Source organism: Homo sapiens, chromosome 17 (assembly GCF_000001405.40).
Source record: "Homo sapiens chromosome 17, GRCh38.p14 Primary Assembly".
Lineage (NCBI taxonomy): Eukaryota > Metazoa > Chordata > Mammalia > Primates > Hominidae > Homo > Homo sapiens.
In genome coordinates this window covers 82,065,815-82,077,873 of record NC_000017.11, presented here as the reverse complement: position 1 = coordinate 82,077,873, position 12,059 = coordinate 82,065,815, and the positions used below count along the sequence as shown (strand labels likewise).

Sequence of the window (12,059 nt, the reverse complement as noted above, 5' to 3'; positions counted from 1 at the left end):
AGGCTGGGAGGGAGCAAGGGACAGGGAGCCCTGGGCACCTGGACCCCCGGCATCGAGGGGTGGGGTGGACACAGCCTCCAGGACCCATAAGGGCAGCACCCCACGGGTGGCTGTGCGGGGGGCCGCTGGGTGGACATGAGCTTGGGGTAGAGGCATGGGCAGGAGCGAGAGCCAGGATTGGATTTCGGGAATGGGCAAAGCAGGCCAGCCCGGGGTTCCGGAAGGCACAGCATGCCCACAGAAGAGGCCCTTTCAGTGTGAGTGCCAAGGCACAGAGGTGGGTGGGGGGCTGGGAGAGCCCCTGCTGGAGAGGCAGGGGAGGGGTGGGCGCAGGGGCCATCTCCCAGGGCAGGGTAGTGGGCCAGGACTACAGTGAACACCACGGGCCCTGCTGGGGGGGTGGGCCTGGTGCAGCGGCTGCAGGTGGGCAGTGTCCAGGCGTGAGTGTGGACAGCAGGCGGGCATCGGAGCGAGGCTCAGCCACACCCCTCCTGCGGTCCCCCAACACTAGGCAGCTGCTCCCTTCAGCCGTGGTCCCCTCTGGCCTCTCTCCACCCCTCCTCCGGCCACTCCCACCCCAGCCGTGCACACAGGCTCAGGGCCACCAGGGAGGACAGAGGCTCACAGGCCTATCTGGGGGTGGCCTCAGAACTAAACTGCTTTAGCTCCACAGCCTCAGGCCCTGCAGGGCAAGGCGGGTAGTGCCCAGCACATGGGCTCTTGTCACCCCTCCTGCTTCTCCCGGCTCTCCGGTACCGGAATGTGGTGTCCAGGGGTCTCTGAAGTTCCTGGCTCAGCTGCTGCCAGGGGAGGAGGCGCTCTGATGGGCCTGAGGTGCATCCAAGTTGCAAATGAGCTTCAGGGAGACCTAAGAGAAACCACGTATCTTTGTTATGAAGATACAGTTACCTTAAGTCACACAATTATCTTCACTTCAGTTATTTTTTCTTTCGAATTAAAATGAAAATTAATGTAACGAATTGGAGTTCTGATCCAGAGAGTAGCGAGGCCTGGATTCACCCTCCCACCGGAAACAGCTGAAAATCCAGGCAAAGGACAGGAGGTGCTGGCTGTGGGGATACCAGGCCTCCGCCAAAGAAGGACGGTGACCCCTGGGTGGGAACAAGGTGCCAGGAGCCCTAGGGTAACCTCAGCCTTCTGCCTGGCAGCTTCCAGGCCGGGCACAGTGAGAGGTGGAGTCCAGCAGACCCCCCGAGTTGAGGAAGTGGAGCTGAGAGTCCGGGGGGAAAATGAGGCTGAGGATTGCAGGACAGAGCACCCGGGGGGAGCTGGCAGACAGTGGCGGGGTGCAGGGGCTGTCCCGGGACCGCCAGGCAGGAGGCTACGGGGGCTCTCCTGTGAGCACCAGGCCAAGCACCTTCAATGCGTGCGAGCAGGAAACCAGCAGGAGGATTAGACGGAACAGTGCCAGATACTGCACAGGTCTGGAAACCAGTGCCTGTTCCTACCAACCAGACTAGAAAACCTCAGAATTCGTGAGACATTGAATACTCAGATGGGTGTGTCTCAAGGCCCAAGATCTATTAGCTGGTTACTAGTTAGCGCTGGTACACCTAAAACAAAACAAAAATCTTACAAACAAGACCCCAAAGCATAAATTTTTTTTTTCTTTTGAGACGGAATCTTGCTCTGTCTCCCAGGCTGGAGTTCGGTGGCGCAATCTCAGCTCACTGTAACCTCCACCTCCCAGGTTCAAGCCATTCTCCTGCCTCAGCCTCCCGAGTAGCTACGATTATAGGCACGCGTCACCACGCCCGGCTAATTTTCGCATTTTTAGTAGAGATGGGGTTTCACCATGTTGGCCAGGCTGGTCTCAAACTCCTGACCTCAGGTGATCTGCCCACCTTGGTCTCCCAAAGTGCTGGGATTAAAGGTGTGAGCCACTGTGCCTGGCCTCAAATTGTTTCCAAGTAAACTTACTCCATCCCAGAACAAAGCCCAAAAATATTTAGGTAAAATTCACAATCCCTGGGGCAACTAGTGAAAAATTAGCAGCCAAAGAAGCAGGAAAACAAGACCCACAGGGAGAGAAAATCAATCAAAACCGACCCTGGCCGGACACTGATGTTGGAATCAGCAGCCAAAGACATTAAAGTACTTATTATAGGCCGGGCGCGGTGGCTCACGCCTGTAATGCCAGCACTTCGGCAGGCCGAGGCGGGCGGATCACGAGGTCAGGAGATCGAGACCATCCTGGCTAACACAGTGAAACCCGGTCTCTACTAAAAATACAAAAAATTAGCCGGGCGTGGTGGCCGGTGCCTGTAGACCCAGCTGCTCGGGAGGCTGAGGCAGGAGAATGGCGTGAACCCGGGAGGTGGAGCTTGCAGTGAGCCAAGATCGCACCACTGCACTCCAGCCTGGGCGACAGAGCGAGACTCCGTCTCAAAAAAAAAAAAAAAGAGAGACCAGGTGTCTGAAACCAGCCTGGGCAAAACGGCAAGACCTCATCTCTACAAAAAGTAATGGGCCGGGGGTGGTGGTTCATGCCTGTAATCCCAGCACTTTGGGAGGCCGAGGTGGGTGGATCACCTGAGGTCAGGAGTCCAAGACCAGCCTGGCGAACATGGTGAAACCCCGTCTCTACAAAATACAAAAATTAGTCGGGCATGGTGGCGGGTACCTATAATCCCAGCTACTCAAGAGGCTGAGGTGGGAGAATTGCTTGAACCTGTAAGGCGAAGGTTGCAGTGAGCCGAGATCACACCATTGCACTCCAGCCTGGGCGACAAAGGGAGACTCCATCTCAAAAAAAAAAAGAATTAAGAAATAAAATATAAAAATAACAAACAAAAAATAAGGAGAGGCCAGCACGGTGGCTCACGCCTGTTATCCCAGCACTTTGGGAGGCTGAGGTGGGTGGATCATGAGGTCAGGAGTTCCAGACCAGCCTGACCAACATGGTGAAATCCCATCTCTATTAAAAATACAAAAATTAGCCAGGCGTGGTGGCGGGCACCTGTAATCCCAGCCACTCAGGAGGCTGAGGCAGGAGAATCACTTGAACCCAAGAGGTGGAGCTTCCAGTGAGCCGAGATTGCACCACTGCACTCCAGCCTGGGCAACAGAGCAAGACTCCATCTCAAAAAGAAAACAAACAAACAAAAAAGATAAGGAGAAATAAGAGTATGTATGTGTGTGTGTCCTTATTTTTGCAGAAAGAAACACAGGAAGGATAAGTCCAGTGTGAGTGGAAAGGAGTCGAAGAAATAGTAGTAAAAGGGACCTTTCTCTGATATGCCTTTCAATACAGTTTTGATGTTTTGGAAAGTCAAAACTAACCCTAACCCTCAGCTTATATATGTGAAAAAAAATTAAATCTACAAACGGGGACAAAACTAAAGTTGAGGATAAACAGAAACAAATGAACCAAACTGCACATTAAACTGATGTGGTAACCACACGGAAGAGAAAACCTGAACCACCTTCCGTGGGCATGTTCTAAAGATAGAAAGAATTCCAAAAACATCTAGTTTTTTTTTTGTTGTTTTTTTTTTTCGAGACAGAGTCTCGCTGTCACCTAGGCTGGAGTGCACTGGTGCCATTTTGGCTCACTGCAAACCTTGACTCCCGGGTTCAAGCAATTCTTGTGCCTCAGCCTCCTGAGTAGCTGGGATTACAGGTGCCTGCCACCATGCCCAGCTAATTTTTGTATTTTTAGTAGAGATGGGGTTTCACCATGTTAGTCAGGCTGGTCTCGAACTCCTGACCTCAGGTGATCTGCCCACCTTGGCCTCCCAAAGTGCTGGGATTACAGGCATGAGCCACCGCCCCCAGCCAAATCTTGATCTTTTTTAGAAGATGTATTGTAAATGGGACAGAAGAGAAATACAGAATGGGAGAAAGAGAAGATAGCGGAGGTGATGGACTGTAACTGAAGGCATCAGTCATCAGTACACGCATGCCTTTAAAACGATATACGCATGCACATGTGTGCATATCTGTATTAACGTCATTTTAAATTTGGTCTGCTAAAAAAGCCTGAAAATAACAATAGCCCCAAAGTAATGAGGACACCTGTTACTAAAATCGTGGTCTCTAAACACCACTACCACTGACAAAACCAGGGCTCCCTACAAAACATGCTTGATTCCAGGGTTGGGGGAGGGAAAGTACAGAAAACGAGGAAGCGCTCAGAAAACAAAAACAACAAAAACAGTGATGTGAACACAAGAGCCAGACTGCATGCAGGGGCTTGCACCGGCCAAATCTAGGACGATTCGAGCGTCAAAATGAATCATAGCAGTAATGAGTTAAACATACATCAAATTGGCTGGGTGCAATGGCTCACGCCTGGGAGGTCGAGGCAGGTGGATCACTTGAGCTCAAGAGTTCAAGACAAGCCTGAGCAACATGGTGAAACCCATCTCTACAAAAAATACAAAAATTAGCCAGGTGTGGTGGTGCGTGCCCGTAGTCCCAGCTACTTGGGATGCTGAGGTGGGAGGATCGCTTCAGTCCAGGAGGTAGACGTTGCAGTGAGTTAAGATCATGCCACTGCACTCCAGCCTGGGCAACAGAGCCAGACCCTGTCTCAAAAAAAAAAAACAATCAAAACATCACATCCGGCTGGGCATGGTGGCTCACGCCTGTAATCCCAACACTTTGGGAGGCCAAGGCAGGAGGACTGCTTGAGCCCAGGAGTTCCAGACCAGCCTGGGCAACATGATGAAATCCCTTCTCCACAAAAAAAAATTTAAATTAGCTGGGTATGGCGGTGCTTGCCTGTGGTCTCAGCTACCTGGGAGGCTGAGATGGGAGGATCGCTTGAGCCTGGGAGGTCAAGGCTGCGGTGAACCATGACTGCACCACTGTACAAAAAAAGTTTTGTAGGGTGGCCTTTGTAACTCTTGTAGCTGTAAAATATACGTCAACAAGGAACAAGGAAATGTATGTCACCGAGGGCTCAAGGAAACTATACTCATACATTTATTACATTTCTGCAGCTGGAAGTATGATAGAAAGAGGGAAGTGTCCGGTATGAATTGTATGATATTAATTCTAAAGACATTTGGAAAACTTAGGATATATGTTGAGTAGCCCTAGAACAACTACAAAGCAATACAATGAAGAATCACTAAGAAGCCAATAGAGGATATAAAATAGAACACTAAAACAATACTATTTGGCCGGGCGTGGTGGCTCACGCCAGTAATCCCAGCACTTTGGGAGGCCGAGGCGGGTGGATCACGAAGTCAGGAGATCGAGACCATCCTAAAGAACACGGTGAAACCCTGTCTCTACTAAAAATACAAAAAAAAAAAAAATTAGCCAGGCGTGGTGGCAGGCGCCTGTAGTCCCAGCTACTCGGGAGGCTGAGGCAGGAGAATGGCGTGAACCTGGGAGGAGGAGCTTGCAGTGAGCTGAGATCGCGCCACTGCACTCCAATCTGGGAGACAGAGTGAGACTCCATCTCAAAAAAAAAAAAATCCAAGAAAACAGTAAGAATTAAAAAGCAGGTGTAATTATATTGTTAATGGAAAAAGCAGACTTCATGATAAAGAGAGGGTCTTGGAAGCTTGGCCAGTTCCGAGGGTCAACCCAGCCTGGCTGTGGCCCCCCAGCCCATCACCTCCATCGCCTGGAGGGGTGAGAAGGCAAAATCCAAAGGCAGGTGTCCCATCATGGGGAAGGAAGGCACCCCAAGCCAGGGGCCTGGTGACGTTTCCCATCTTTGTAATTCTATTATTCCGAGAGCATTATATAAATTGAATCATATATACCTCTTGAGATTGGCCTTTCTGTTTCACTCAGCATAACTTTGAGAACCATCCATGTTTTTTTATGTATCCATAGTTTGTGCAAATAGGGACATTTCTGCCCTTTCTTTCTTTCTTTTTTTTTTTTTTTTTTTTTTTTTTGAGACAGAGTCTCACTCTGTCGCCCAGGCTGGAGTGCAGTGGTGCGACGTCGGCTCACTGCAACCTCCTCCTCCTGCCATTGCACTCCAGCTTGGGCAGTAAGAGCGTAAGAGCAAAACTCCATCTCAGGAAAAAAAAAAAAAAAAAAAAAGCATAAATTATTGATTTGAGATCTTTTTTCTTTTCTAACATGGGTGTTGATAGTTAAAACTTTCCTTTGTTTTTTCGAGATGGAGTCTCGCTCTGTCGCCCAGTCTGGAAAGCAGTGGCATGATCTCAGCTCACTGCAGCCTCCATCTCCTGGGTTCAAGTGATTCTCCTGCCTCGGCCTCCCTAGTAGCTGGGATTACAGGCACCCGCCACCACACCCGGCTAATTTTTGTATTTTTAGTAGAGACGGGGTTTCACCATGTTGGCCAGGCTGGTCTCAAATTCCTGACCTCAGGTGATTCACCTGCCTCAGCCTCCCAAAGTGCTGGGATTACAGACATGAGCCACTGCACCCAGCCAAAATTTTCCTTTTAGGAACTGCTTTATTGCATCCCACATATTTTGAAATGTGTTTTCATTTGCATTAACTTCAAAATATTTTTAAATTTTCCTTTTGGTTTCTTCTTTGACCCATGGGTTACTCAGAAGTGTGTTATTAATTTTCAAGTATTTGTGCATACCTCAAATTTCTATTTTTGTTTGTTTCTTATTTATTTATTTAGACATGGTCTCATTCTGTTGCCCAGGCTGGAGTGCAGTGGTGCAATCTCAGCTCACTGCAACCCCTGCCTCCTGGGCTCAAAACATCCTCCCATCTCAGCCTCCCAAGTAGCTGTGATTCAAGCACATGCCAACACACTCAACTAATTTTTAACTTTTTTTTTGTAGAGCTGAGGTCTCACTCTATTGCCCAGGCTGATCTCAAACTCCTGGACTCAAGCAATCCTCCCACCTCAGTCTCCCAAACTGCTGGGATTATAGGCATGAGCCAGTGTGTGTGGCCTGATTTCTAATTTAATTCCACTGTGGCTAGAGAATAGCTTTCCAATTATTTTAATTTTAATTTTTTTTTGAGATGAAGTCTCACTCTGTTGCCCAGGCTGGAGGGAAAATGTTTTATTGTGTCTTCTTTAATGGCCTAGTATATGGTGTAGCCATGGGTGAAGTGTTCCATAAATGTCTGTCAAGTCAGATTGATTGATAGTGTTTCTCAAATCTCCTACATCTTTGCCAGTTTCTTGTCTAGTTGTCCTATTTCATTATTGAGAGTAAGGTACTGAAATCTTCAACTATTATTGTTAAATTGTCTATTTCTCCCTTCTTTTTTTTCACTCTTTTCATTATTAATTTGGGGGCTCTATTGTTTGGTGCTTATGTGTTTCTAATTGTTACATCTTACTAATGAATGGACATGTTTATCATCATAAAATATCGGTATGGGCTGGGTGCAGTGGCTTACACCTGTAATCCCAGCACTTTGGGAGGTAAAGGTAGGAGGATGGCTTGAGCCCAGGAGTTTGAGACCACTCTGGGTGACAAAGTGAGACCCTCATTTCTACAAAAAACAAAAAAATTAGCTGGACATGGTGATGTGTATCTATGGTCCCAGCTACTTGACAGGCTGAGGCAGGAGGACTGCTTGAATGCAGGAAGTTGATGCTACAGTGAAGCCATGTTCACATCACTGCACTCTAGCCTAGGTGACAGAGCGAGACCCTGCCTCAAAAAAAAAAAAAAGAAAGAAAGAAAGAAAGAAAGAAAGAAAGAAAGAAAGAAAAAGAGTCTGTATGTGTCTCTAGTGATATATTTTATCTTCATATCTATTTTGTCTGACATTAGTATAACCATTCCCGTTCTCTTTTTTTTTTGAGACGGAGTCTCGCTCTGTCGCCCAGGCTGGAGTGCAGTGGCACGATCTTGGCTTACTTCACTACAAGCTCCGCCTCCCGGGTTCACGCCATTCTCCTGCCTCAGCCTCCCCGAGTAGCCGGGACTACAGGCGCCCACCACCACGCCCAGCTAATTTTTTGTATTTTTAGTAGAGACGGGGTTTCACCGTGTTAGCCAGGATGGTCTCGATCTCCTGACCTCATGATCCGCCAGCCTCAGCCTCCCAAAGTGCTGTGATTACAGGCATGAGCCCCTGCGCCCAGCCTCCAGTTCTCTTTTGGGTGCCGTTTATATGGTATATCTTTTCTCGTATTTTCACTTTCAACCGGTTTGTGTCTTTGAGTCTAAAGTGTGTAGATTGTGGCCAGGTGAGGTAGCTCACACCTGTAATCCCAGCACTTTGGGAGGCCAAGGCGGGCAGAAAACCTGAGGTCAGGAGTTCGACATCAGCCTGGCCAACATGGTGAAACCCCATCTCTACTAAAAAGACAAAAATTAGCCAGACATAGTGGTGGGTGCCTGTAATCCCAGCTACTTGGGAGGCTGAGGCAGGAGGATCTCTTGAACCCAGGAGTTGGAGGTTGTAGTGAGCCAAGACTGCGCCATTGCACTCCAGCCTGGGCAACAAGAGGGAAACTCCATCTCAAAAAGATAAATAAAATAAAAAAATAAGGTATATTGAATGTAAAGAGCATATAGTTGGATCTTGTTTATTTCTTAACCCACTCCGAAAATCTTGGCCTTTTACTTGGAGTGTTCATTACCGTTTAATGGTATTATTGATACAGTTAGATTTACATATGCCACTAGTTTTTTTTCTTTGTTTAGTTTTTGTTTTGTTTTGTTTGAGGCAGAGTCTTGCTCTGTCACCCTGACTGGAGTGTAGTGGTGCTATCTCAGCTCACTGCAACCTCCCCCTCCTGGGTTCAAGCGATTCTCCTGCCTCAGCCTCCCCAGTAGCTGGGGTTACAGGCTCACGCCACCACATCCGGCTAATTTTTGTACTTTTAGTAGAGATGGGGTTTCTACTAAATTAGCCCTATGCCTGGCTAATTTCTGTATTTTTACAAAAATTATGTATTTCGTATGTATTTTTTTATTTCTCTGTTCTGCTATTGCCTTTGTTGTGTTAAATGGATATTTTCCACTGTACCATTTTAATTTCTTTTATATATAATATAATGTATTTTCTTTTTTTTTTTTTTTTTTGAGACAGAGTCTCGCTCTGTCATCCAGGCTGGAGTGCAGTGGCGCAGTCTCCGCTCACTGCAAGCTCAGCCTCCCAGGTTCCCGCCATTCTCCTGCCTCCGCCTCTCAAGTAGCTGGGACTACAGGGGACCGCCACCACGCCTGGCTAATTGTTTTGTATTTTTAGTAGAGACGGCGTTTCATCATGTTAGCCAAGATGGTCTTGATCTCCTGACCTCATGATCCGCCCGTCTCGGCCTCCCAAAGTGCTGGGATTACAGGCGTGAGCCACCGTGCCTGGCCTATATAATGTATTTATTTTCTTATGATTACTATGGGGATTTCAACAAGCATCGTAATTTATCACAATCTTCTTCAGATTAATACTTAATTCCAGTAAAACACAGAAACTTTGCTCCAATATAATTCCCTTCCCTCTTCCTTTTTGCTGCATTTTTCATATAATTATATGTCTCTATATATTATAACCTCTTTATAGTTACAAGTTATACACCATAAGTTATATTTTTATTATTTATTTATTTATGTTGAGACGGAGTCTCGCTCTGTCGCCCAGGCTGGAGTGCAGTGGTGCCATCTCGGCTCACTGCAAGCTCCGCCTCCTGGGTTCATGCCATTCTCCTGCCTCAGCCTCCCGAGTAGCTGGGACTATAGGCGCCCGCCACCATGCCCGGCTAATTTTTTTCGTATTTTTAGTGGAGACGGGGTTTCACCATGTTAGCCAGGATGGTCCCGATCTCCTGACCTCATGATCCGCCCGTCTCGGCCTCCCAAAGTGCTGAGATTACAGGCATGAGCCGCCGCGCCCGGCTAAAAGGCAAAAGATTCATATGATCTGGGCTGGGCGTGGTGGCTCATGCCTGTAATCCCAGCATTTTAGGAGGTCGAGATGGGCAGATCATGAGGTCAGGAGATCGAAACCATCCTGGCTAATGGTGAAACCCCATCTCTACTAAAAATACAAAAAATTAGCCGGGTGTGGTGGCGGGCACCTGTAGTCCCAGCTACTCGGGAGGCTGAGGCAGGAGAATCGCTTGAACCTGGGAGGTGGAGCTTGCAGTGAGCAGAGATCGTGCCACCGCCCTCCAGCCTGGGTGACAGAGCGAGACTCTGTCTTAAAAAAAAAATCTTTTACCTTTTACAATTACTGGTTCGATACTGTGCTTAAATATTCTGAACCAGTAGGGCCTCCAGCCTCTGCTGATGGCGCTGTGTGTGGGTTGTGGCTGCATTTGGAATTCAGGTAGTTTTTACAATTTGGACTTGGCTTTTACTTTTTGCTTGTACAAAGCCTCACGTTCAGCCAGGGCGGTGGACAGCTGGGGCCCTCGCCTGTCTTTCCTTAGTGTGCACCCAACCTTGCAGTCCACCAGGGACATCTGGCCACCTCTGAAGACCACCAAGGCTGTTCTATCTGTGAATGCAGAAAATCTGAGACAGGTCTCAGTTAATTTAGAAGGTTTATTTTGCCAAGGTTGAGGACATGCCCATGGCACAGCCTCAGGAGGTCCTGACAACATGTGCCTGAGGTGGTTGGGGCACAGCTTGGTTTTATACATTTTAGGGAGACATGAGACATCAATCAATATATGTAAGATGAACATAGCGGCTAGCTGCGGTGGCTCACGCCTGTAATCCCAGCACTTTGGGAGGCCAGCGGATCACCTGATGTCAGGAGTTCGAGACCAGCCTGGCCAACATGGTGAAACCCCCATCTCTACTAAAAATACTAAAATTAGCTGGGTGTGTTGGTGGGTGCCTGTAATCCCAGTTATTTGGGAAGCTGAGGGAGGAGAATCGCTTGAACCTGGGAGATGGAGGTTGCAGTGAGCCGAGATCACGCCACCGCACTCCAGCCTGGGTCAGAAAGCGACTCCGTCTCAAAAAAAAAAATTGGTTCAGTCTGGAAAGGCGGGACAATTTAAAGCAAAAGCCATCGGGGAGGGAGCTTCCTGGTCACAGATAGGTGATACACAAACGGTTACATTGTTTTGAGTTTCTGATTAGCCTTTTTTTTTTTTCTTTTCCTTTTTGATCAGTCTTGCTCTGTCGCCAGGCTGGAGTACAATGGCTTGATCTCGGCTCACTGCAACCTCCGCCTCCCAGGTTCAAGCGATTCTCCTGCCTCAGCCTCCCGAGTAGCTGGGACTACAGGGGCGCACCACCACACCTGGCTAATTTTGTATTTTCAGTAGAGACAGGGTTTCACCGTGTTGGCCAGGCTGGTCTCGAACTCCTGGTCTCAATGTGCGCCACCGCGCCCAGCCTTCTGATGAGCCTTTTCAAAGGAGTCAGTCAGATATCCATCTATCTCAGCGAGCAGAGGGTGACTCTGAATAGAGCGGGAGGCAGGTTTGCCCTGAGCAGCTTCCAGCCTGAGTTTTCCTTAGTGATTCCGGGGGCCCAAGAGATTTCACATGTTTTAGGTACTGAATGTCCTGGTTCAACTTCGGGCTTCGCTCTCAGATATGGAAAGCTCTGACAAAGCTGCTTTTTACATCTGTTGGGTCTCAAATGCCTTCAGTTTAAAATAACCTTCACATCCACTCTGGGGTTCCCAGTGGGTCCCCACAGCTCGAAATAACCCAAGGAGGGTCCACGGCGGGTAGGAAAGTCGATCGAAGGCTGGCGGCTGCGGAAACCCAGGGCGGGCAAGGAAGGTCCCTGGAGGGTGATTTTCCGCAACGCAGCGGCGGAAAGTGAGTGGCTTTCAGAGGCGGCAGGTGAGTGGGTTCGAGGCAGGGCTCTGGGGCCGCTTTAGGATATAACGGGATGAAGCCCCCAATGCGAACTTGGGGGCTGGGCAGCGCAGGGCCTCAGCGCCCACGGTCTACCCGCGGCCCGGGCCTTATGTGCGCCTCAGCGAGGCCCAATTTCCACATGCCTCGTTTCCAGCGAGCTGTCGGTGAGTCCCGGCGAGCCCCGACCCCTCTCTAGCCACGGCCTGACGGGTACGGTGGTGACCTCAGCCTCTGACCTCCGACCCCGCGCCGCGACCTCTCGTCGCCGGTCCCCTCGGAGCCGGGCGCGGTTTCCGGGGAACGCGTTTCCCGCCGCACCGTGGGCCGCCCGGACCGCGCAGGACCG

General features: G+C 49.1%; 1 annotated feature.

The window, feature by feature from the left end:
• Window positions 11,999-12,058: a silencer, noted in NCBI's record as "silent region_9190". NCBI's record gives its function as "represses an Ori minimal core promoter by ATAC-STARR-seq in GM12878 lymphoblastoid cells {active_cell/tissue: GM12878}" and the evidence as "EXISTENCE:reporter gene assay evidence [ECO:0000049][PMID:35858748]".